This window comes from Homo sapiens, chromosome 12 (genome assembly GCF_000001405.40).
Source record: "Homo sapiens chromosome 12, GRCh38.p14 Primary Assembly".
Lineage (NCBI taxonomy): Eukaryota > Metazoa > Chordata > Mammalia > Primates > Hominidae > Homo > Homo sapiens.
This window is the reverse complement of record NC_000012.12, coordinates 31,626,275-31,653,210: the sequence shown is the minus strand read 5'-3', so window position 1 is coordinate 31,653,210 and position 26,936 is coordinate 31,626,275. Positions and strand designations below refer to the sequence as shown.

The following is a 26,936-nucleotide window of genomic DNA, read 5'->3' as shown; positions in this document are numbered from 1 at the left end:
TTGAGACGGAGTCTCGCTGCATAGCCCAGGCTGGAGTGCAGTGGCACGATCTCAGCTCACTGCAACCTCTGCCTCCTGGGTTCAAGCGATTCTCCTGCCTCAGGCTCCTGAGTAGCTGGGACTACAGGCGCATGCCGCCAAGGCCGGCTGATTTTTTGTATTTTAGTACAGACGAGATTTCACCGTGTTGCCCAGGCTGGTTCCGAACTCCTGAGCTCAGGCAATCCGCCGGCCTCGGCCTCCCAAAGTGCTGGGATTACAGGCATGAGCCACCGCGACCGGCCTGGCACATTTCTTTAGTTGTAAGATATGATGGAAATACTTATCATTGGTCATAAATAGTTCAGGCTTAAAGCTTAAGAAAGATTTGGTATAATCTATAACACATTCTCTCTCAATCTTTCTCTCACACACACGTGCACACTCCACAACTAACCCACTAGCAAATCCAAAACACTGTCTATGCAGAATCTGACCACTTTTCACCACCTGCATTGCTTTCCTCTAATATAAATCACCATCATCTCTAGCCTGGATTATTGCTGATGGGAGGATAAATTCTCCTCTACTCCCTTGGGATCGTCTAAAGCTAAGTCTAAGAATTAAATGGACATAAACCAGATTAACAGAAAAGCATACAAGTGTTACTAATTTTTACTTGCACATGAAGACTCTCACAAGATGAAAGGGGCGACGACCTGAAGAAAATGGCCAGAACAGAAAGCTTTTATACCTTTTGGACAAAGAAATGATAAATTTATGAAGAAATGATAAGACAAAGGGATTTGGACTAGGGGCAGTAAATTGCGGGGGAATCACTAGGAGATATATGGTGATGAAGGGACCATACCACTGTCTGCGGTATAAACCCGGGGTTTGTCGTCAGGCGCCAGGAAAATTTAGGACACTGACACACACAAGGAGTGTAGGAGCAGAGGTTTAATAGGCAGAAGAGAAGGGAAAGAGAAACAGCTTTCTCTATAGAGAAATGGATCTGCGAGTGGAAAGGACCAGCCGGCAGTGGATGCGCCGAAGTTTATAGTCAGGTCTGAGGAGACGGTGTCTGATTTACATAGGGCTCATAGATTGGTTTGATCAGGTATGACGTTTACACTGTGCGCAGGGGAAGCCTGGTTACCCCACCCTAATCTTATTATGGAAATAGACTTTCTAGTTGATCAACACCATCTTGTCTGCTCCTTACAGTACACGTGGCTGACAAAGGGAAGGGAAGATGGAGCCTCCAATTTGAACATGTGTACTCCGAAGTTCCTCCCTGCGTTCACTCGTGCAAGCTCCCAGCTTGCTTGTCTGTGTCTGCAGCTCGGCTTTACAGAATGCTCTTTGTTAGAAAATGATTTGGGGCTGCTTTTCATGAAAAAGAAAAGCCTTACTGAGGATTCCCATACTCCTACTATCTGCCTAAGTGATTTCTTCTAAACTCCTGTATCAGTGAAGTGCAAAGCTAGTGAAAGGTAAGTGTTCGTTTAGTAAGTTTATCTGTATAGGTCCATTGTAGCATCAATTCCCAGTCTCTGGAGATAAGGGTTATTTTCTCTTTCTACTAAAGGAAGGCATCGGCCGGGCGCGGTGGCCCATGTCTGTAATCTCAGCACTTTGGGAGGCGGAGGCGGCTAGATCACACCTGAGGTCAGGAGTTCCAGACCAGCCTGGCCAACGTGGTAAAACCCCGTCTCTACTAAAAATACAAAAATTAGCCATGCGTGGTGGCACGCACCTGTAATCCCTGCTATTCGGGAGGCTGAGGCTAGAGAATTGCTTGAACCCGGGTTGCCTCACTGCAACCCGGGAGGTGGAGGTTGCAGTGAGCCGAGATTGCGCCACTGCACTCCAGCCTGGACGACAGAGCAAGACTCCGTCTCAAAAAAGAAAAAAAAAAAAAGGGAAGGCATCTTTCTCAAAGGAATTTTTATGGCTTCCTAAAGGTAGGAATGGACACGTCAGTGGGGAGGGCAAAGCAACTCCATCCTGGATGCTAATCCATGCTGGTTTCTGATTAACGCCAGTTCCAGGAAGTCTTGTAAGACTTCCAGTTTATCTATTGTTCCTTGTGTAAGAGCACGTACTGACTGTAAATCCTGCCCTTAGGTCAAGTGGCCTTGATGTTATCATACTTAAGTTGTTCTCCACGTCCCTTCTGAATCACTCCTCTCCTGGGGTATATAAGCCCTGGGTTTGAGGGGTAATGGTGCGGGGATCCACCATCTTGTCTCACTGCTTCCTGAGATACAGACATGGCTTCTGTTCTAAGTCCCTAGTAAACGTTTCTTCCTAAGAAACTGGATGTGTCAGCCTCTTTCTTCCACCTCTCAGCTTCCTTGGCCGCAGGTTTGCATAGACCCTGTCCACTGTGAAACAGTGAGCTAGCTCTTCCTGCAATGACAGTCTCTCAAGTACCTTCAGCTTGAAATAATCAGTATGCCAAACTGGCATATTTGGGGGTGGCACGTCCTTAACTCTTTCATTGCAAAGGTCTTTGAACTAACCTCCTTATCCCTCCTTGCTTCCTTTGGTCTCTTCTCAACAGAAAAGCCAGAGTGATTCTTTAAAAAAAAAAAAAAAGGTCAGGTCATTTCAATCTTCCACTCAAAACCCTCTTAGTGTTACTGGAAAGGGATCACGATTCAGATCCCAAGAGAGGGTTCTTGGATCTCACGCAAGAAAGAAATCAGGGCAAGTCCATAAAGTGAAAGCAAGTTTAAGAAAGTAAAGAAATAAAAGAATGGCTACTCCAAAGACAGAGCAGCCCCAAGGGTTGCTTGTTGCCCATTTTTTATGGTTATTTCTTGATGATATATGCTAAACAACGGGTGGATTATTTATGCCTCCCCTTTGAGACTATATAGGGTAACTTCCTGATGTTGCCACAGCATTTGTAAACTGTCATGGCACTGGTGGGAGTGTAGCAGTGAGGACGACTGGAGATCACTCTCGTTGCCATCTTGGTTTTGGTGGGTTTTGGTTGGCTTCCTTACTGCAACCTGTTTGATCAGCAAAGTCTTTACAGCGACCTCCTATCTCATTCTGTGACTAAGAATACCTTAACTTACTGGAAATGTAGCCCAGCAGGTTTCAGCCTCAGGTTAACCAGCCCCTATTCGAGATGGAGTTGCTCTGGTACAAAGGCCTCTGACAGCAGGGCTGAGTGCAGTGGCTCATGCCTGTAATCCCAGCACTTTGGGAGGCAGGTGGATCACTTGAGGCCAGGAGTTCGAGACCAACCTGGCCAATATGGCAAAACCCCACCTCTACTAAAAATACATAAATTAGCTGGGTGTGGTGGTACGTGCCTGTAATCCCAGCTACTCAGGGGGCTGAGGCAGGAGAATTGCTTGAACTTGGGAGGTGGAGGTTGCAGTAAGCTGAGATCATGCCATTGTACTTCGCTACGGAGAGAGATTCTGTCTCAAAAAAAAAAAAGAAAAGGAAAAGAACACACACATTTATCCATTAAGTTCACCATCTTTCATGGGTGCTCCAAAACAATTACAATAGAAACATCAAAGATCTATGATCACAGATCACCAGAACAGATAATCATATTAGGTTGGTGCAAAAGTAATTGTTGTTTTGGCCATTACTTTTAATATTAATGAAAAAAATTTAAATACTGTGAGGATTACCAAAATGTGACACAGAAACACGAAGTAAGCACACTCTGTTTGAAAAAAAAATGGCACCAATAGACTAGCCCGACACAGGGGTACCACAAACGTTCAATTTGTAAAATTCACAATATCTGTGAGGCACAATAAAGCCAAGCACAGTAAAAGGAGGGATGCCTGTGAGTGGAATCATATGCAGTCCTTTGTGACTGACTCTTTCATTGAGCATAATGTTTTCTTCATTCATGTTGTAGAATGAATAAGTACAGTCAGACCTCTGTATCTGTAGGTTTCACATCCGTAGATTCAACCAACCGCAGATTGAAAAAATTGGGGAAAAAAATTTGTATCTGTACTGAACAGCATGTATAGACTTTTTTTTCTTGTCATTATTTCCTAAAAATATAACAACTATCTCCAGCCTGGGCAACACGGTGAAACCCCGTCTCTACTAAAATACAAAACATTAGCCCGGCATGGTGGTGGGCGCCTGTAATCCCAGCTACTTGGGAGGCTGAGGCAGAGGTTGGCATGAGCCAATTGCACGCCACTGCACTCCAGCCTAGGTGACAAAGCGAGACTCCGTCTCCAAAAAAAATACAACTATTGGTCGGGCGTGGTGGCTCATGCCTGTAATCCCAGCACTTTGGGAGGCTGAGGCAGGCGGATCACAAGGTCAGGAGTTCAGGACCAGCCTGACCAACATGGTGAAACCCCGTCACAGGGCTGGGCGCGGTGGCTCACGCCTGTAATCCCAGCACTTTGGGAGGCCAAGGTGGGCAGATCACAAGGTCAGGAGATCGAGACCATCCTGGCTAACATGGTGAAACCCTGTCTCTACTAAAAATACAAAAACTTAGCCAGGCGTGGTGGTGGGCCCCTGTAGCCCCAGCTACCTGGGAGGCTGAGGCAGGAGAATGGCTAGAACCCGGGAGGCAGAGCTTGCAGTGAGCCGAGATTGCGCCACTGAACTCCAGCCTGGGAGACAGCGAGACTCCGTCTCAAAAAAAAAAAAAAAAAAAAAAAAGAAACCCATCTCTACTAAAAATATAAAAATTAGCTGGGCATGGTGGTCCATGCCTATAATCCCGGCTACTCAGGAGGCTGAGGCAGGAGAATCGCTTGAACCTGGGAGGCGGAGGTTGCAGTCAACTGAGATGGTGCCATTGCACTCCAGCCTGGGCAAAAGAGCGAGACTCCATCTCAAAAAAAAAAAAAAAAAAACTATTTACATCATATTCAACATTATAATCTACAGATGATTTAAAGTAATTATGCAAATACTACATCATTTTATATAAGGAACTCAAGCATCCATGGATTTTGATATCCTCAGGGGTCCTGAAACGAATCCCCTGTGGATACTGAAGGACAATTGTACTACATTCCTTTTGTGGCTAAATAATATTCCATTATGTGAATATTCAGTACTATATTGTGTTTCTCCATTCATCTGTGATAAACATTAAGGTGGTTTCCACTTTCTGGCTATTATGAATAATGCCACTATAAACATTAATGTACACATTTATGTGGAGACATATGCTTTCAATTCACTTGGGTATATACCTAGGAATGGAAGTGCTGGGTGATATAGTAACTCTATGCTCAAATTATTTAGGAATTGCCAGACTGTCTTCCAAAGTGACTGCACAATTTTACATTCTCACCAGCAATTTATGAAGGTTCCAATTTCTCCACATTCTTATCAACACTTGTTTTTTTTTTGTTTGTTTGTTTTCTTTGGTTTTGTTTTGAGATGGAGTCTCCCTCTGTCACCAAGGCTGGAGTGCAGTGGCGTGATCTTGGCTCACTGCAACCTTCGCCTCCCGGGTTCACGTGATTCTCCTGTCCCAGCTTCCCGAGTAGCTGGGATTACAGGCACCTGCCACCACACCTGGCTAATTTTTGTATTTTTAGTAGAGACGGGGTTTTGCCATGTTGGCCAGGCTGATCTCGAACTCCTGACCTCAGGTGATCCACCCGCCTCAGTCCCACAAAGTGCTGGGATTACACGCGCCCAGCCCCTAAATTACCTCTTTAAGCTTCAAAATAAGCATAGGATGTAGGTATACTATTATGACCTCTGTTTTAGAGGTAAAGAAGTGAAGTCACAGGAAGGTTCAGTAACTTGCCTGAGGGCTCATAAATAGCTGGCAGTAGAGTTGGGATGACACACATGTCGTCTGGTTCCAGAGCTGCACTTAAACACAGGACGTAGACTCGGTAATGAGAAAGAGGAAGCTATTTCAAGCACGAGCCAAAGGCAGGGATTTACAAGTTCATTGCAGAAAATAAACAGCCCAGTCTGACTACGAAGAGCACTCACCGGAGCCAGGTTGCGGGAGATGAAATGAGGATAGGGTGAGGCAGGCTGGTGGAGGGCCTGGACTGTGAGGCTTAGAGGCTTGGATTCCATTAAGAATATTAATTGGGAGTCATGGTTGGTTGGTGTGTGGTCAAGGGAACAATAAAACAAAAACAGCAGCTCAGTGGCTGTCGACATGTTAATGGCCTTTGAAAATAAAGTATACAAACAATGAGTGGCAGGAAGGCGAAAAGAAAGCTTTCTCATCACCAAGCTCAAACTACTCTGCATTATAATTACACAATATAAAAAGATGGAGGATCATGCCTGTAATCTCAGCACAAGATCCTTAGGGAGGCTAAGGTGTGAGGACTGTTTGAAGCCAGGAGTTTGAAACCAGCCTGGGCAACATAGCGAGGCTTTGTGACAAAAAATACGAAAATTCCAGCCTGGGCAACATAATGAAACCTGGTCTCTACAAAAATTGTAAGAACTAGCTGAGCATGGTGGTGCACACCTGTCATCCCAGCTACTCAGGAGGCTGAGGCAGGAGGATCACCTGAGCCCAGGAGGTTGATGCTGCAGTAGCCATGTTCAAGCCACTGCACTTTAGCTTGAAGGACAGAGCAAGATGCTGTCTCTAAGAAACAAAACGAAACAAAAAAAGGCTGGGCGAAGTGGCTCACGCCTGTAATCCCAGCACTTTGGGAGGACAGGGTGGGCAGACCACGTGACATCAGGAGGTCAAGACCAGCCTGGCCAACATGGTGAAACCCCATCTCTACTAAAAATACAAAAATGAGCTGGGCGTGGTGTCATGTGCCTGTAATCCCAGCTACTTTGGAGGCAGAGATTTGAAAATTATTTGAACCCGGGAGGTGGAGGCTGCAGTGAGCCAAGATCATGCCACTGCACTCCAGCCTGGGCGACATTGCAAGACCCTCTCTAAAACACAACAAAACAAAACAAAACAAAACAAAAGATGGAAAGATTGTAAGTTATCCTTACCAAACTTCTCTGTCCCCTTCAGACACATTTAGATGTTCACATCTATAATTAGCCATTGTCAATGGTAATGAGATTCTAACAACCGCGTATCGCCTGTGTGCAATGTGCTGTGTACAAAGTTTTTAATCTCCACAGCAACCAGTTCAGAAGAGGAAGCTGATGCTTGGGCGGGTAGGGGGAATGTTATGTCTCTTTCCTTTTCTCTGGAAAAAAACAACAACTTTCATGTCATCCAGGCTCTCTCTCATCAAACATGAATCTTCTCTACAGCATCTGAAGGCCTCTAGGATTCTTCCTATTAAGTCACATCTGCCTCTGAGCAGGGGGACAAGGCAGCGTTGCACAAAGCCTGTCTCCACCTCTCTTAGCCCACAGTGACCCCAGGAGCTAAAAGAACATCAGAGAAAAACATCACTAATATCTCAAAGATACTGAGTGCTGCTTAGAGTTGCAGTGGCAAAAATTTTTATCCATGTAAAAATGTAGTCCAGGAAAGATTAGTTTGTCTTCCCCTGCTGGACTCCAGCCTATTTCTACCTAATTATTTTTTCATGTGCCAAAAGTACAGGTAGGGAATTCAGGGGGAAGTAAAATAGTGTTTATTGAGTGCAACTCTATGGCAGGCTCTTTATTCACATGATCTCATTTAATTCCCTTAACAATCTTGTAAGGTAAAAATTGTTATTCCCGGTGTTAATGCAATATATGGACACTGAGGCCAAACAGCTTAAGTAACTGGCTGAATGCACAAAGGCCTGGAAGTGGCAGAACTTGGACTCCCATCCAAGTTCTAAAGACTTCCTTCTATGTCCCTTGCACTCTCTGATCGCCCACATTCTCTTTCCCAGCAGTCTCTAGTTACCAAAATTGCTCTCCTTAAAAAAAAAAAAAAAAAAAAAAAAGGCCAGCCACAGTGGCTCACGCCTGTAGTCCAGCACTTCGGGATCCTAAGGCAAGAGGATCACTTGAGCCCAGGAGTTTGAGACCAGCCTGGGCCACATAGGGTGACCCTATCTCTATTAAAAAGAAAGAAAATTAGCCAGGTGTGGTGGCACACACTTGTGGTCCCAGCTACTCAAGAGGCTGAGGTGAAAGAATCACCTGATTACCTGAGGATCACTTGTGGTTCCAGCTACTTGGGAGGTCGAGGCTGCGGTGAGCCAAGATCATGTCACTGCACTCCAGCCTGGGCAACAGAAAGAGATCCTGTCTCAAAAAAAAAATTGCTCTCCCTCGACAGCCTGCTTAGACGGCACCTGGCTTCAACAAATAATGCCTTGAACATTAGTAGCAGTGCTGGGGAGGAAATGAGCTGAACCCAATACACTGGAGATGGTGGCCAGGGGGCCTCTCACAATTCCTGCTCCCACCTCATCCTGTAGCAAAAGAAGCACTTTCTTCCACTTCCTTATTGGTTCTGTGAGGGTTAATTCTATGTGTCAGCTTGACTGGGTTGCAATGTGTTCAGACAGTTAGTCAAACATTCCTCTGGGTGTTCCTCTGAGGGTATTTCTGAAAGAGATGAACATTTGAGCCCGGGCGTGGTGTCTCACGCCTGTAATCCGAACACTTTGGGAGGCTGAAGGAGGTGGATCACCTGGGGTCAGGAGTTTGAGAACAGCCTGGCCAACATGATGAAACCCCATCTCTACTAAAAATACAAAAAATTAACCGGGCGTGGTCGACAGTGTCCCCTGGCACCGCTGTATGTGCAGCAACAGATAGGTAAAATCTAAGGTTTTAGGACAGATGTGTGAAGGCTGCTGGTGAATGGATGGGACCAGGACAAAGAGGGTACCTCAAGTACAAGGTGCTCTTTGATCAAGCCAAGGACCATTACGGGTTGCAGGGTTGTTTCCCTCCCGGTCAGCCCTGACAGCTAAAGGGACATCATTTATGCCAGTGCTCCAAGCCACCCTTCAGCTCTTTTGGTTAAACCAACATGTATGGCTCTGGGCTGGGCATGGTGGTGCACGCCTATAATCTCAGCAGTTTGGGAAGCCGAGGCGGGAGGATTGCTTGAGCCCAGGAGTTTGAGGCTAGCCTGGGCAACATAGCGAAACCCCAACTCTACAAAAAAATACAAAAATTAGCCGGGTGTGGTGGAGTGCACCTGTAATCCCACCTACTTGGGGGCTGAGGTGTGAGGCTCACTTGGGCTTGGGCAGATGAATGTGCAGTGAGCTGTGATCATGCCACTGCACTCCAGGCTGGGTGACAGAGGGAGACCCTGTCTCAAAAAAAAAAAAAAAAAAATGTATGGCTCTGGCATTTTTCACGTTTGCTGAAGCATGTTCCTTGGGGGCATAATGAGAACACAGGAACCTTGTCTATAATGCATAATGACCATCGGAGGAAAGAATCCCCAGCTAGCTCCATTGTCAGCAACTATCAAGAACCTGCTAGGGGGCCAGGTGCGGTGTCTCATGCCTGTAATCTCAGCACTTTGGGAGGCCGACGCAGGCGGATCACTTGAGGTCAGGAGTTCGAAACCAGCCTGGCCAACATGATGAAACTCCGTCTCTACTAGAAAAAATATAAAAATTGTCCAGGTGCGGTGGCTCACGCTTATAATCCCAGCACTTTGGGAGGCCGAGGTGGATGGATCACTTGAGGTCAGCAGTTCAAGACCAGGCTGGCCAAAATGGTGAAACCCTGTCTCTACTAAAAATACAAAAATTAGCTGGGCGTGGTGGCATGCCCCTGTAATCCCAGCTACATGGGAGGCTGAGGCAGGAGAATCGCTTGAACCCAGGAGGCAGAGTTTACAGTGAGCTGAGATCGCACCACTGCACTCCAGCCTGGGTGACAGAACAAGAGTCCGTCTCAAACAAACAAAAACGAAAAACAAAAATTAGCCCTGTGTGGTGGTGTGTGCCTGTAGTCCCAGCTACTCAGGAGGCTGAGGCAGGAGAATTGCTTGAACCCGGGAGGCAGAGGTTGCAGTGAGCTGAGATCACGCCACTGCACTCCAGCCTGGGCAACAGAGTGAGACTCCATCTCAGAAAAAAAAAAAAAAATTTGTGGGAGAAACAAAAATGAATAAGACTTCGGTCCTACCTTCATGGAGTTTTAATATGAATCTGAGTAGTTTCAAAATATGCCTAATGAGACTCAAAATAATCCATATGTCACAGAATGAATTCTGTTAAAGGGCAGAACAGAGTGGCTCTAAAGTCAATCTGTTCCACCACTTACTAGCTCTGTGAGCTTGATTAAGTGCCGTAACCTCTCTGTGCTTCGGTGAATTTGTCTATAAGATGAGAGAACAAGGCCGGGCACGGTGGCTCACACCTGTAATCCCAGCACTTTGGGAGGCCGAGGTGGGTGTATTGCTTGAGCTCAAGAGTTTGAGACCAGCCTGGGCAACATGGCGACACCCCATCTCTACTAAAAGTACAAAACAAAATAAAATTGAAAAATGAGAGAACAAGAAGTACCTACTTCATAGGTTGTGGTGAGGATTAAATGAGTCAATGCCTATAAACTTCTTAAAGCAAGGCCTGGAACATAGAAAATGTTCTATTAATATTAATAATAATTATTATTTAAACTATCAACAAATATTGTGTCTCTGCATGAGACGTAACAACCAAGAGTTTTATAAAGGTGGCACAAGGATACCTCATCTCTTGGTTATTTTGGGAGTCGGAAACATTGTAATGGAGACACTTAGTTTCCAGGCTCTCAAACAAAAGGTTCTCTAAGCCGTGTTATCACTTGAGAGTTGCATGTTTTCAGTTTAAAGACAAATTTAAGACCATTCTATTGTAATAACCGAAAATTAAATGGCACACTGATAAAAAGAGAACCAGCAGCGTTTTATTTACCTTGAAAGGTGGTAATTTAAGAAAAACAGGGGAGATTTTAACAGGATGAAGAGGAATATAAAAATTTGTGACAAGATGAAAAGAAATATCGGGGTACTTGAAAGGTTTTAGAGGTTGAGACTCAAGTATTTTTTTTAGAAAGTCTTATTTCACCCTGGGACTTACATGACTTTTTTTCCCCAGCCATTACTAGAAGGGGTTTTGCACCTCCACACGGTATTAAAAGCGACAGAAGAGGACAAAAGGAAGATATGTATACAGGAGGGAGAAATAAATTATGTGCAATGGAATTAACTCAGCTTTAAGAAATAAGGGCAGGATGGAGAGTCTTCAAAAGGAAATATAAAATATTCCCAGCAGTCCGGGACCTCTATACCTTCAATGATCGTGTTACCGGAAAAGGGATCTCTATCCAGACCCCAAGAGAACGTTCTTGGATCTCGAGCAGGAGGGACTTCAAAACGAGTCACAGAGTGCAGTGAAAGAAGCAACGTTATTAGAAACTACACTGTTAGAGTAGGGCATCCTCAGAAAGCAAGAGGAGGAACGCCTCGACTTTGTTTTTTGTTTTTCTTCTCTAGAGATCTTGTCTATATAAAGGCTAAGCTAAGCTGTGTCCACGTGTGGGTGAGCAGACAGCATGACAGAATGTATGACTACTGATTTAAAGAAAACTGGCCTTGACATTCTAGTGTGTGGATACATCAAAGCAAAACTATTATTATCTTGAAAACAGAGATTGTTATGGGTATTGGACATCTGGACTCTTGGCTGTAGTAGGAGTGTGTCCTTGTAGGTATCTTTAGGCTGTTTCTTCCACTGTAAACAGCCCATGAATGTGGGTCGTGACCAGCAGAGAATGGGCTTTACTATTTCTCAAGATGGAGCTGAACTTAAAATGGTGCTACTCTGGCCCTCCTAGGCTCCTGGTTCCCTAACATTACCCCCACTAATTTTGAGGGAACCCTTAATCTTTTTGTTTTGTTTTGTTTTTTTGAGACAGGGTCTCGCTCTGCCACCCAGGCTAGAGTGTGGTGGTGCGATCTTGGCTCACTGCAGCCTCTGCTTCCCGGGCTCAAGTGATTCTCGTGCCTCATCCTCCCAAGTATCTGGGATTACAAGCATGCGCCACTATGCCCAGCTAAGAGAGCCCTTAATTTTAAGAGGAGAGGAGGGTGAAGGTCATTCTTCTGTAACTTCTTCCTGCTGATAGTGGACATCGATTGCTGGGACAGGGTCCTTTCACGAAAGCATGCAGTGAGCCTCCTCAGGGAGCCAGGTGGTTCCTTGCTTGAGCAATGTCCCAATAGTTCCTATAAAGGTAAAATATGAAATGAGTAAATAGATGGGCAAAGAAGTTGCTGAGCTATTTTATCTTGCAAACCTACACAAGTGCAACAGAAGTAAAAAGCACAGCAATTTATAATAACGAGTATTACAATACCAAGCATGCTGAAAAGAAATGCTTTCCAAGTACTGGATAGCTAACAAACCAGGCCATTATGGGGCCTTGAGACAGAGAATTAATGCTGTAATGTGAGTTTCCAAGGAACTCATAGCCTGGGATACATTATGGGAATACTCAGGAATATAAATACAACATTCAGTTTTGATCAGGGCAAAAATTCCCCCTTGGGCTGCAGTTAAAATGTCTAAAGCCATACAGTTTTGTAGAGCCATTTGTCTTATTTGGTAAGTCTCTTCTGTCAGAAGGGTGATAGCCTGGTAAGTATTTTTTTTTTTTTGAGACGGAGTCTCGCTCTGTTCCCCAGGCTGGAGTGCAGTGGTGTGGTCTCAGCCCACTGCAAGCTCTGCCTCCCAGGTTCACACCATTCTCCTGCCTCAGCCTCCCGAGTAGCTGGGACTACAGGCGCCCGCCACCATGCCTGGCTAATTTTTTGTATTTTTAGTAGAGACGGGGTTTCACCATGTTAGCCAGGATGGTCTTGATCTCCTGACCTCGTGATCCGCCCACCTCGGCCTCCCAAAGTGCTGGGATTACAGGCGTGAGCCACCGCTGCTGGCCCTGATGAGTATTATTGAAAGCTACAGTGGGCTGAGCCTGGTGGCTCACACCTATAATCCCAGCACTTTGGGAGGTTGAGGCAGGTGGATCACTTGAGTTCAGGAGTTAGAGACCAGCCTGGCCAACGTGGTGAAAACCTGTCTCTACTAAAAAAACAAAAATTGGCTAGGTGTGGTGGCGCACGCTTGTTGTTCCAGCGACTCAGGAGGCTAAGGCTAACCTGGGAGGTGGAGTTTGCAGTGAGCCGAGATGGCACCACTGCTTTTCAACCTGGGTGACAGAGCGAGACTCCCTCTCAAAAATAAATAAATAAAAGCTGCAGCTGTGTGTTTTGCCAGGGCTTCTACTTGTAATTCAACATCTATAGCCACTGCTTGAGGAGAGAAGACAGCCATAGAATAAAATCACCAAGAAGCCCACTTTTTCTGTCTATGACGGGCTGTCACTGTTTCCCAATTGGTGGGGAGGGAATCTAGATGTGTAAGGACACCTGGGAGATAAGGACAGTCTCAAGTGTATTGTCCAGTCCAACTGTAAGGTGGATATGGTCAACTGTGAGACTCACATGCTCATAACCATCCCCAAGGAGAGGAATGGGCACCCAATCTTAGAGATGTATTTTGCTGTCCTATCCACATCTGATCAGTTAAGGGGAGGGTTTGATTGCGTTGGTTGGGTGGCAGCCATCCATGTTATATATTTCAGCCTGGAGGCTGCTGTTTTCATGCCTCTCAAGGCATAAAGGTACTTTGCTTACTACTTGAATTTGGGTAGCCATTAACCAACTAAACTCATTATATATGGTGTAGCCTAAAGTAGGGATGTTATTGGGAGGCCAAGGCAGGTGGATCACCTGAGGTCGGGAGTTTGAGACAAGCCGGACCAACATGGAGAAACCCCGTCTCTACTAAAAATACAAAATTACCCAGGCGTGGTGGCACATGCCTGTAATCCCAGCTACTCAGGAGGCTGAGGCAGGAGAATCACTTGAACCGGGGAGGCAGAGGTTGCAGTGAGCCGAGATCACGCCACTGTACTCCAGCCTGGGCAACAAGAGCGAAACTCCATCTCAAAAAAAAAAAAAAAGTAGGGATGTTAATCATTTGTTTGTGGATTAACTGAAAAAGGCATTTCTTAGCTTCAGTGTAGAAAGAAAAGGAATAGTGACTGGTATCCCTTTGGTGCATTGGAGAAGGAAGATACTCATTTCTTTTTTGTGTGTGTGGTTTTTTTTTTTTGGAGACGGAGTCTGTCTCTGTCCCCCAGACTGGGGTGCAGTGGCGCGTAATCTCGGCTCACTTCAAATTCCACCTCCCGGGTTCAAGGGATTCTCCTGCCTCAGCATTCCGAGTAGCTGGGATTACAGGCACGTGCCATCACGCCCGGCTAATTTTTGTATTTTTAGTAGAGACGGGGTTTCCTCATGTTGGTAAGGCTGGTCTCAAACGCCTGGCCTCATGATCCGCCTGCCTCAGCCTCTCAAAGTGCTGGGATTACAGGCATGAGCCACCGCGCCCAGCTAAGGTGTGTTATTTCTTACAGACTACTTATAGAAGTGGCTCCAAAGGCTTAAATCAGCCTATTGAATATGCCAAAATAAGCCTGAGGTCGATGAAAGAGGTAACTCATGGCTTACCGAACAATTTGGTTTTGCAGGGGGAGAGAGTTTGTGCCCAATCTGCAAACAAATTAGTTTCAACTCTATAGCAAAACAAGCTTAATATTAAGGCCGGGCGTGGTGGCTCACGCCTGTAATCCCAGCACTTTGGGAGGCCGAGACGGGCAGATCACGAGGTCAGCAGATCGAGACCATCCTGGCTAACATGGTGAAACCCCGTCTCTACTAAAAATACAAAAAAAAAAAAAAAAAAAATTAGCCGGGTGTGGTGGCAGGCGCCTGTAGTCCCAGCTACTCGGGAGACTGAGGCAGGAGAATGGCGTGAACCCGGGAGGCGGAGCTTGCAGTGAGCTAAGATTGCGCCGCTGCACTCCAGCCTCGGCGACAGAGAGAGACTCCGTCTCAAAAAACGAAAAACAAAAAAAAAAACAGTAACTTCATTTTGTGAGTGGTACCCATTCACTGGATGGCTTTTTCTTGAAAAGAAGCTTTTTTTTTTTTTTTTTTTTTTTAAGATGGAGTCTCACTCCTGTTTCCTAGGCTGGAGTGCAGTGGTGCGATCTCAGCTCACTGCAACCTCCGCCTCCCAGGTTCAAGTGATTCTCCTGCCTCAGCTTCCTGAGTAGCTGGGATTACAGGCGCCCGCCACCACACCTGGCTAATTTTTGTATTTTTAGTAGAGACAGGGTTTCACCATGTTGGCCAGGTTGGTCTCTAATTCCTAACCTCAGGTGATCCGCCCCCTTCGGCCTCCCAAAGTGCTGGGATTACAGGTGTGAGCCACTGCGCCTGGCCTGAAGAGAAGCTGTTGATCCTTTATTGGCTCACAGGAGTGTTCCAGAACAGCGGCCCCTGTGTGAGATGCCTGTGGCATGTAGCTCCAGGAGAGACAGGTTTAATTCCGGATAAGTGTACCCAACTGCATACTGATATTCACAAAGTGCCTTTTGTACCTGTCGAAAATTAATATATTTTTGCAATTGGTGGCTGTTTTCATGTATTAGAAAATCTGCAGTCAAGAAAGGCCTGCTGCCCCGGCACAGTGGCTCACGCCTGTAATCCTAGCACTCTGGGAGGCTGAGATGGGTGGATCACCTGAGGTCAGAAGTTCAAGACCAGCCTGGCCAACATAGTGAAACCCTGTCTCTACTAAAAATACAAAAATTAGCTGGGCATGGTGGCACAGGCCTGTAGTCCCAGCTATTCAGGAGGCTGAGGCAGGAGAATCACTTGAACCTGAGAGGCAGAGGTTGCAGTGAGCCGAGATTGCACCACTGAGCTCCAGCTGGGGCGACAGAGTGAGACTCTGTCTAAGAAAAAAAAAAAAGGAAGAGAAGAAAGAAAGAAAGAAAGAGAAAGAAAAAAGAAAGAGAGGAAGGAGGGAGGGAAGGAAAGAAATATTTGAAAATTGTGAAATGAAATTAAACATTTGATTATCCATTTTAATTCTCTGGAAATGGAAATCCCCATAACATGTAAACTCACATAGAGTATATAAATCCAACTTTTTCACTTGATTTTCAGAAATACTGTGCATATGTGCAAAAGTAAAGGCATGGTCTGGCCGGGCACGGTGGCCCATGCCTGTAATCCCAGCACTTTGGGAGGCAGAGGCGGGTGGATCACTTGAAGTCTGGAGTTCAAGACCAGCCTGGCCAATATGGTGAAACCTCGTCTCTACCAAAAATACAAAAATTAGCCGGGCTTGATGGTGGGCGCCTGTAGTCCTACCTACTCCGGAGGCTGAGGCAGGAGAATTGCTTGAACCTCGGAGACGGAGGTTGCAGTGAGCCGAAATCGCCACTGCACTCCAGCCTGGGCGACAGAGCAAGACTCTGTCTCAACCAGCCAACCAACCAACCAACTAACCAACCAACCAACCAACCAACCAAAGAATAAAGGCATGGCTGGCACAAAGCCAGGAAGCACGCCTGGCCGGGTGGCTCCCCACATTGGCCACCAGGGGGCACCATCATCTCATAACTGTCTGGCTCTGGGACCTACACATGCGAGAGAGGAATTTTTTAGTGCGGTTTGAGAAGGAATAAGCAACCTGCTGTTTAATGTGTTCATTCAATGGGTCTTTTACAAATTGCTATTTGTAACCTAGAGCGTGCCAGTTATTTAGGATATAATTAGGTTTTTGCTGTTTCACTAACATACCTCACATACCTCGTATAAATGCTTTTTTTTTTTTTAACACACCTCTATACTAAAGAGGAAAATGCTTTTAAATGTAATCTTGAGGTTAATTGACTCTCACTTCTCCTTTCTCTGAAGGGCCTGCAGAACTCTTTCAGTTCTGACGTGGCCCCAGTAGTTTTTTGGTTTTATTTTTTTGAGATAGGGACTCTCTCACCCAGGCTGGGGTACAGTGGCACGATCATAGCTCACTGCAGCCTCTGCCTCCCAGGCTCAAGTGATCCTCCCTCCTCAGCCTCTTGAGTAGCTGGGGCTAAAGGCATGCGCCATCACGCCCAGCTAAGCTTTGTTTGTTTGTTTTTTGTTTGTTTGTTTGTTTGTTTGTTTTAGAGACAGGGTTTCACTATGTAGCCCAGGCTGATCTTGAACTTCTGAGCTCAAGCAATCGGTCCACCTTGGCCTCTCGAAGTGCTGGGATTACAGGCGTGAGCCACCTGGTCGTTTTTTGTTTTTTTTTTTTTTGAGATAGAGTCTCACCCTGTCGCCCAGGCTGGGGTGCAATGGTGAGATCTCGTCTGACTACAATCTCTACCTACTGGGTTCAAATGATTCTCCTGCCTCAGCCTCCCGAGTAGCTGGGATTACAGGTGCCTGCCACCATGCCCAGCTATTTTTTTTGTATTTTTAGTACAGACGGGGTTTCACCATGTTGGCCAGGCTGGTCTTGAACTCCTGACCTCGTGATCCGCCCGCCTCAGCCTCCCAAAGTGCTGGGATTACGGCGTGAGCCACCACGCCTGGTTACCACCTAGTAGTTTTTATCTGGTGACATCTCATCTCTTTGAAATCTGAAACACCAAATCTAAGTAAGAATCTGACTTTAGATTTTGATGTCTTTAAATTAGATAAACTAGCTGGACGCGGTAGTTCAAGCCTATGATCGCAGCACTTTGGGAGGCCAAAGTGAGAGGATCGCTTGAGTCCAGGAGTTCAAGACCAGCATGGGCAACATGACAAAACCCCTCTCAATAAATAAAATAAAAATAAAAGAATACAAATAAATAACTAAATTAGGTAAACTGTTGCACTTAATATTTATCTGAGCCAGTGGTGTTTATGTCAAGATGGGGTCAGATTCTAGACTAAATCAAACTCTCAGACAAGAAAATGGCCTCTTGCCCTGTCATGCTCTCTGTCATGTTATGCTGCGGTAAGAAGGCCCTCACCAGATGCAGCCCAACAGCTGTGGACTTTCAAACCTCCAGAACTGTAAGAAATACGTTTATTTTTAAAATAAATTTAAAAGGCTGGGCATGGTGGCTCATGCCTGTAATCCCAGCACTTTGGGAGGCCGAGGTGGGTGGATCACCTGAGGTTAGGAGTTTGAGACCAGCCTGGCCAACATGGTGAAGCCCCATCTCTACTAAAAATACAAAAATCAGCCAGGCGGGGTGGCACGAAGCCTGTAATCCCAGCTACTCGGGAGGCTGAGGCAGGAGAATCGCTTGAACCTGGGAGGCAGAGGTTGAAGTGAGCCAAGATTGTGCCGTTGCACTCCAGCCTAGGCGACAGCAAGACTTTGTTTTTTTGTTTTTTGTTTTTCAAAAAAAGAAAGAAAGAAATCTCCAGCATGGGGAACATTATGAAACCCTGTCTACAAAAACTGCAGGAAAAAAAAAATCACTGAACATGGTAGTGGGCACCTGTAGTCCCAGCTACTCGGGAGGCACAAGAGGATCATTTGAGCCAGGAAGGCAGAGGTTGCAGTGAGCTAAGATTGCACCATTGCACTCCAGCCTGGGCAACAGAGTGAGACCCACCCTGTCTCCAAAAAAAGAAAGGAAAAGAAAGGAAAGGAAAAGGAAAAAGAAAAAAAAAGGAAAGCAAAGGAAAGGAATCTCATGTCAAATAATCATAGTAGAAGTTAAAGTACATAACAATGGCATCTATTTTCATTGCCATGTTACTGCAGAGAGTAGTTTTTGGTGGTCATTGCATTTTTTTTTTTTTTGAGACATGGTCTCACTCTGTCACCCAAGCTGGAGTGTAGTGGCGTGATCTCTGCTCCCTATGGTCTCCACCTCCCTCCCACTTCAGCCTCCAAAGTAACTGGCATTATAGGCGCACATCAGCATGCCTAGCTAATTTTTGTATTTTTTGTAGAGATGGGGTTTTGCCATGTTGCCCAGGCTGGTCTGGAACTCCTGAGCTCAAGCAATCTGCTGGTCTTGGCCTCCTAAAGTGCTGAAGTGCTGGGATTACAGGTGTGAGCCACCACACCCGGCCTGATTATTGTCTTTAGTCTGCTGTAGTCATACTACGTAGAATTGAGTTTCCACTTCATATATTTATTATGCATTCATGTGACCAAAGAAGTTCCAGATATGTGCTGCTATCATTATTTCATCTGGGCCACAGTCTTGAATTGTTACATAGCACATTGTTACATGCCTCTAGAAATAATAAAAGAATGTTACAACAAAAATAAACTTTTTGTTTTCTTTTTATTGAGACAGAGTCTCGCTCTGTCGTGAAGGCTGCAGTGCAGTGGCGTGATCTCGGCTCACTGCCAAACTCTGCCGCCCAGGTTCAAGCAATTCTCATGCCTCAGCCTCCCAAGTAGCTGGGATTACAGGTGCCTGCCACCATGCCTGACTAATTTTTTTGTATTTTTAATAGAGACGGAGTTTCACCATGTTGGCCAGGCTGTTCTCGAACTCCTGATCTCAGGTGATCCACCTGCCTTGGCCTCCCAAAGTGCTGGGATTACAGGCGTGAGCCACCGTGCCCGGCCAAAAATAAACTTTTAAAGTTAAAATTAACAAGGAAGAATAAATTCTCGCATCCCATTGCACAGTAGGGTGGCTGTAGCCAACAATAAGGTATTGTATATCTCAAAATAGCTAGAGGAGAGGATTTTGTATGTTCCCACCACAAAAAAAAATTAATCTTTGAGGTGGTGAGTGTACTAGTTACCCTGATTTTGTCATTACGCAATATATACATGTATCAAAACATCACATTGTACCCTATAAATATGTACAATTATTACATTTGAATTAAAAATAAAAATTTTTAAAAACCACTGTACTACTTGCTATGGACTGAATTGTGTTCCTTCAAAATTTCTCTGTTGAAGCCCTAATCTCCGGTGTGATGGTATGTGTTTTTGATTTTGTTTTGAGATGGAATTTTGCTCTGTTGCCCAGGCTGGAGTGCAGTGGCACGATCTTGGCTCACTGCAGCCTCCACCTCCCAGGTTCAAGCAATTCTCCTACCTCAGCCTCCTGAGTAGCTGGGATTACAGGCGCCTGCCACCATGCCTGGCTAATTTTCGTGTTTTTAATAGAGATGGGGTTTCACCATGCTGGCCAGGCTGGTCTCAAACTCCTGACCTCAAGTGATCTGCCCTCCTTGGCCTCCCAAAGTGCTAGGATTACAGGTCTGAACAGCCACGCCCGGCCTCTTTTTTTTCGACTTTAAAGTTCTGGGGTACATGTGCAGGATGTGCAGGTTTGTTACATAGGTAAATGTGTGCCATGTTGCTTTCCTGCACAGATCATCCCATCACCTAGGTATGAAGCCCAGCATCCATTAGCTATTCTCCCTGATGCGCTCCCTCCTCCCATCCCCCGACAGGCCCCAGTGTGTTGTTTCCCCCATGTGTCCATGTGTTCTCATCGTACAGCTCTCGCTTATAATCGAGAATATACGGTGTTTGGTTTTCTGTTCCTGTGTTAGTTTGCTGAGGATAACAGCTTCCAACTCCATCCATGTCCCTGCAAAGGACACAATCTCGTTCCTTTTTTTTTTTTTACCTCTTTTTTTAGAGAAAGAGTCTTGCTTTGTCTCCCAGGCTGGAGGGCAGTGGTGCAATCATAGCTCATGGCAGCCTCGACTTCCTGGACTCAAGCTATCCTCCTACCTCAGCCACCTGAAGAAAATAATTAGCTGTCTGGACAATTTTATCCTTTACCTCCAAGGCCTAAACAATACAGAAGTAAACTTTGGCAAGAAGAGCTTTGGTGGAGATGCTTCTGTAGTTCCTTTTCCCATTCAGAACCTAATGGTAGGATCAGGGTCTCTGCTGACCCGTCCCTGCCACTTTCAGGTGTACGTAAAGCCACAGGGACCTACAATGCCTGGGCTTGAGCTTTCCCAGCTGGGAAACTGAGGTGAAGAGGACTAACTTAGAGAGGTCTTTTCAGTATGGTAAAACATTAGCCCAAAGGAGATAATGCCTTCTCTGTAGAATGGGAGTTGCAGTGGAGGAGTTGGGAGAGTAAAGAAGAAAGAAGGCTGGGTGTGGTGGCTCACACCTATAATCTCAGCAGTTTGGGAGGCCGAGGCAGGTGGATCACCTGAGGTCAGGAGTTTGAGACCAGCCTGACCAACATGGTGAAACCCCATGTCTACTAAATACAAAAAACTAGCCGGGCGTGGTGGCACATGCCTGTAGTCCCAGCTACTCGGGAGGCTGAGGTAGGAGAATCTTGAACCCGGGAGGCAGAGGTTGCAGTGAGCTGAGATGGCGCCACTGCACTCCAGTGTGGGCGACAGAGTGAGGCTCCGTCTCAAAAAAAAAAAAAAAAAGAAGAAGAAGAAATGCTGGGCAGAAAAGAGGAAGCAATCCCAGGAGTGGCCTTTCCCGAACCAGCTGAAGTCAGAGCACCCTCCATTACGGGATGTATCCACGGGGAGACGCATGGGAAAGCATTGCGTTCAGGTGCGCAGATGGGGCCAAGCTTGTGTTGAAGCTCACCAGTCCCTTAGTTCATCTGCAGCGAGAGTCAGCTTTATGATTTGGGTTTACACACCCTAGGGAAGTGTGGTCTAGGTAAGAGGCCATTAGGAGGGGCTTATAGTAGGATTTGAGTTTATGTTAGATGACTTGGGGAAGGGCTGAGCCGAGCGAGGCCTGCTCTGGACTGGGTGCAGTCAGATAGTGTGGGCAATTTGGTGATTGAGTATCTTAATGATTTTTATTTAGAAAGTGGCAGGAACCAAGCCCCACTCAAAACCTCATTGATAAAGAAGCCTCAGCTGCTTATAGTAGCCAGGAAAGGGAGGTGTTTGGTCGCTTCTGTAGTTTACACAGTACGTGCACTTGTTTCTGTCTGTGCTGAGGGCATGGGCATGATTACACACTGGTCTCTTCTTTGTTTCACTCCATTGTGTTACGCATTGCTTTGCTGTGAAATGGTCTGTTTGGCAGGTGCACATTGTGGGGGAGAAAACATATTTTTTCCTTTTCTTTTTTAGGTTTTTAGTTGAGATACTCTCCTGAAAACAAAAGTTAGATTAACAAAAAAAAAAAAAAAGCAGAAATTTATTAATGCATGCAGTACCCATCACACGGGAGAGGCCTCAGTTCAAAAGTATTTCTCTCTCAAGGCAGTGGCTTAGGGGCTTTGCTTAAATCATAGTTTAACAAAGAGCCATAAATCCTACATAGTGACAAGATGAAAGAGAGAGCAGTTCCAGTCTTTTCAAAGGCGGAAAAATATGGTGTGATGGTTAATACTGAGTGTCAACTTGCTTGGATTGAAGGATACAAAGTATTGATCCTGGGTGTGTCCGTGTAGGTGTTGCCAAAAGAGATTAACATTTGAGTCTGGGCTGGGGAAGGCAGATCCACCCTTAATCTAGTGGGCACAATCTAATCAGCTGCCAATGAATATAAAGCAGGCAGAAACCATGAAGAGGTGTGACAGGCCTGGCCTCCCAGCCTACATCTTTCTTCCGTGCTGGATGCTTCCTGCCTTTGAACATCAGACTCCAAGTTCTTCATTTTTGGGACTTGGACTGGCTCTCCTTGCTCCTCAGCTTGCAGACAGCCTATTGTGGGAGTTTGTGACTGTGTAACTTAATACTTAATAAACTTCCCTTTATCTCTATCTATCCATGTATCTATGTATCTATCTACGTATGTATGTATGTATGTATGCATCTATCTATCTATCTATCTATCTATCTATCTATCTATCTATCTATCTATCTATCTCTTTCCTATTAGTTCTGTCCCTCTAAGAGAATCCTGACTAATACATGTGGGAAGAGAGTAAAATCTGTTCCCAGTTTCCGCTGGTGCCTGCTGGTGCCTTCTCTGGGCCAAAAAGCAAGTGCTGTCTCCAATAAGGAAGGATTTATGCCCCGCCATCAGGCACACAGAGGCTGAGGCACAGCGGTCCCCTGCGGTTTAGTGTCTTCAACTAACAATCCTCAATATTTTGGGGAGAAATATTTTGGTTTCCCTCAGTGTTCGGCAGGTGGACACCATACTCTGGCTGTTGTGCTTGGCTAATTCCCAGCTGACAGTTTCTTTTTCACACGCTTCTATCCAGAGATACCAGACACCGAAAGGAGCATTTCCAAGAAGCCGCCTCTTAGGAAAGCCCATAGCATGGTGATTACAAGCCCAACCATGGCCTCAGACTGACCTGCATTTGCGTCCCAGCTCTGTCACTCACTGGCTGTGTGACCTTGACTAATTTAACTGAGAGCCTCTGTTTCCTGTCTTATAAGACAGGGCTAAAAATAATACTTTCCTCTTATGGAAATTGGGAAAATTAAATGTGATAACAAACATAAAACACATAAAATAGTACCTAGCACATGATAAGCATTTAACTTAGGCTCTCTACCCATATCATTGTTTGTCAGAGGTCACATTCTCTTGGCAAGTCCCACTGCACTCTGGCAACCCATCCGGGGGCTGAGGAATCAAACAATATGCGGTTTCTATGGAATTCCTGGCGCTAGAAGGAGCTCAGAAGACGAGCTGATGGGTTGTCTTCCATTTCTGGTTTGTCAAATAAAAAAAATTCTGGATGTGGTAAAAGAGAGACCTTCATTCGAAGGAATTATTGCCAGGGCATTGCGGGGGTACTCCTGCAATGGAGGGAGGGGAATGCTGGGACTGGAAGGTCTGTAAACATCTCAAAGGTTGCAAAGGGTTTCTCTATGGTAGGAGGAAACAAGGCTAGGATGAACCAGATGTGGGAAGCAGATGAAAGAGTAACAAATCGAGCAAATTGGAATGTTTGGCCCTGAAGCCACCCTGTTCTCTGAAGGGGCTCAGGCCAAGGGTAAACAAAGTTCTGAGGCTCTGAGGAAGGAGAGAAGCCTAACCAAAGTTTGGGTAACATGTATTTTGCTCTAGTTCTTCAGTGAGGACAAGCAGTTCAGCTAATCATCTGTGAGGCAAAGAAAGGAAATTTTGAGGGTCTGTGTCTGGTCTTAACATAGGTAAAGAAGAAGAGCATCTGTGAGTCTTACTGAAGTGACATGTGGAAGGGTTGGGGGGTGGTCTTTGCAGTAAGCCCTTTTGCAGAACATGAAGGGTGGGGGATTTTCTTTCTTTCTTTCTTTCTTTCTTTCTTTCTTTCTTTCTTTCTTTTTCTTTTTTTTTTTTTTTTTTTGAGACTGAGTCTTGCTCTGTTGCCAGGCTAGAGTGCAGTGGCCTGATCTCGGCTCACTGCAACCTCCGCCTTCTGGGTTCCAACGATTCTTCTGTCTCAGTATCCTGAGTAGCTGGGACTACAGGTGCCTGCCACCACAACGGCTAATTTTTTTTGTATTTTTAGTAGAGACAGGGTTTCACCATGTTGGTCATGGCTGGTCTCGAACTCCTGACCTCAGGTGATCCTCTCACCTCGGCCTCCCAAAGTGCTGGGATTACAGGCGTGAGCCACCATGCCCAGCCCGGGTAGGGGATTTTTCTTTTTTTTTTTTTTGAGATGGAGTCTCGCTCTGTCACCCAGGCTGGAGTGCAGTGGCGCGATCTCGGCTCGCTGCAAGCTCCGCCTCCCGGGTTCACGCCATTCTCCTGCCTCAGCCTCCCGAGTAGCTGGGACTACAGGTTCCCGCCACCACGCCCGGCTAATTTTTTTTTGTATTGTTAGTAGAGACGGGTTTTCACTGTGTTAGCCAGGATGGTCTTGATCTCCCGACCTTGTGATCTGGGTGGGGGATTTCTTAACCTTCACTGTTCACCAGGCCCACAAGGCTCAGGTAAAATTCAACTTTGTCAGGTTACAAATCATGCATTTCCTATTTCTCAAATTGTATTTCAGATAAAAGAGTGAAATGTAGGCTTTAACACGACTTGAGGCACTTCTGGGTCCTTACATAGAGGGTCAGGACTATTTGGAAGAGGAAACTGGGGAAAGGGGCATGTTTATTTGTGACTCCCTTGCCAAGCTGCACCGTTTAGAACATAGGTGCTTGGGACTGTAGCTTGTGTGACTCTCTGACCTGCAAGTGATCAATGAGAAATAAAATGTAAAATGGGCCAGGCGCGGTGGCTCATACCTGTAATCCTAGCACTTTGGGAGGCCGAGGCGGCTGGATCACCTGAGGTCAGGAGTTCAAGACCAGCCTGGCCAACGTGGTAAAACCCCGTCTCTACTAAAAATACAAAATTAGCCGGGCATGGTGGTGCGTGTCTATAATCCCAGCTACTAGGGAGGCTGAGGCAGGAGAATCACTTGAACCTGGCGGCGGGGCAGTGTGGAGGTTGCAGTGAGCTGAGATTGCACCATTGCACTCCAGCCTGGGCCACAAGAGCAAAACTCTGTCTCAAAACAAAAACTAAAAAACGTAAAATGAGGCAACATCAGCACAAATGCTGAAACCAGACTTCGTTTCAACCCATATTGGTTGACCAGCTACTGAGGGCCTGCAGCTCTCTTTCCTGGTGCTTTGGCCAATTCCCTGTCTTTGGCTCAGCACTGAAATGCTGCTCACTGACAGACTTCCGCTTCAGGATTCTCTCTGCCTTCATGGATGTCTAAATGTTTTCCTGTGTTGCTTTGTCTGCCTCTCTTGGGAGAATTCAAACATCTTGCTTGCTTGCGTTGCAGGGCTTTCCATGCCAGTTTGCACCTATAACATCTCCCCCTCATTCTTTTCTCTCTTTTTATAGCCTTTTGTTCTGCAGTGACTTCACTTGAGGGCCACTAATTCATTCTGCAACAGAGCTGGGAAATCTTGGCATTCTTACCACTTGCAGTATTTCTGGAAGCCAGCCTGGATCTGGAGTAGATCCTGAGAGACCACCGCAGAGTCCTCAAGCCTGCCCCCACCCTGGGATGACCATGACCATCTTTTTTTTTTTTTTTTTTTTTTTTTGAGACAGTCTCCCTCTTGTCACCCAGGCTGGAGTGCAGTGGCATGATCTGGGCTCACTGCAACCTCCACCTCCCAGGTTCATGCAATTCTCTTGCCTCAGCCTCCTGAGTAGCTGGGATTACACGTGCCCGCCACCATGCCCGGCTAATTTTTGTAGTTTTAGTAGAGATGGGGTTTCACCATGTTGGTCAGGCTGGTCTGAAACTCCTGACCTCAAGTGATCCGCCCGCCTCGGCCTCCCAAAGTGCTGGGATTACAGGCATGAGCCACTGCGCCAAGCTGAACATCTTTATTAAATGCTCCTGCCAGGTTCTGGGCAGACAAGCTTTGATTTACTTTCCCTTTCAAGAGCCAAGGGAATAAAGCTACCAAGTACGAGTTGATGATTTGAACTAATTCTGAAGATTTGTGAAAATGCTCAAAATCCAAGTGGGGAGTGAAGAGCAGCCGCCTGACAACTAAAACTGGGAAATGGGTGTTATTTGTCTCACAGTCCCCGCTTGCCCCTGCCTGCGCTGCTCCATCTCTTCCCCTCCTCCCTGCCACTTCAGGAGCCCATGCCCTCTCCCCTTATTGAAACCAAAACAAACACTGCTGTTCTAAAAGAAAGGATGTGAATAATAGAATCCTTCGATAACTAGGAGGGCCTTTAGTGAGTTATCTAATCCAACTCCCTCATTTTGTAAAATACTTGTCACTCCACATTTGGAAATCTAAATCTGGCCCTTTTTCCTTACATCTTGGAAGGTTCTAATTATGTATTTTCCTAGAAGTGGAAGAAAAGAAGTCACTTCTCATCTGTTGGTCTCCTTCCTTTTCCTGGAGCCTGCGTCTCCAAGCAGAGAAGGGTATTTTGTGGCACCTCAAAAGAGAAGCAATAAAACATTACACATATCCATGCACCCAGTACCCTGAAGGGTTCCAAAGCCATGTGATATGGTGTGGCCACGTGATATGGTGTGTCCCACCCAGATCTCACCTCGAGTTGTAATAAGCCCCACGTGTCAAGGGTGGAGCCAGGTGAAGATACTTGAACCATGGGGGTGGTTTCCCCCATACTGTTCTTGTGGTGGTGAGTAAGTCTCACAAGATCTGATGGTTTTATAAAGGGGAGTTCCCCTGGGCATACTCTCTTGCCTGCTGCCGTGTAAGACTTGACTTTGCTCTTCATTCACCTTCTGCCATGATTGTGAGGCCTCCCTAGTCATGTAGAACTGTGAGTCAATTAAACTTCTTTTATAAATTA

General features: G+C 45.9%; 1 protein-coding gene and 1 long non-coding RNA gene across 2 annotated transcripts in view, besides 1 other annotated feature; one reads left to right on the top strand and one right to left on the bottom strand.

Moving 5' to 3' along the window:
• The window catches only part of ETFBKMT (electron transfer flavoprotein subunit beta lysine methyltransferase), a 25,955-nt gene extending 19,904 nt beyond the window's left edge, over positions 1 to 6,051 (bottom strand). The window contains exon 1 of the mRNA NM_001135864.2: positions 5,956 to 6,051. The gene's annotated coding sequence lies outside the window, so the exon portion shown is untranslated. The remainder of the gene's footprint in view (positions 1 to 5,955) is intronic.
• Positions 104 to 163: a silencer, noted in NCBI's record as "silent region_4326". NCBI's record gives its function as "represses an Ori minimal core promoter by ATAC-STARR-seq in GM12878 lymphoblastoid cells {active_cell/tissue: GM12878}" and the evidence as "EXISTENCE:reporter gene assay evidence [ECO:0000049][PMID:35858748]".
• LOC124902913 (uncharacterized) lies at positions 1,153 to 26,936 on the top strand. The gene is made up of 2 exons (XR_007063269.1): positions 1,153 to 1,475; positions 25,485 to 26,936. It is a non-coding gene; the product is annotated as an uncharacterized LOC124902913 (long non-coding RNA).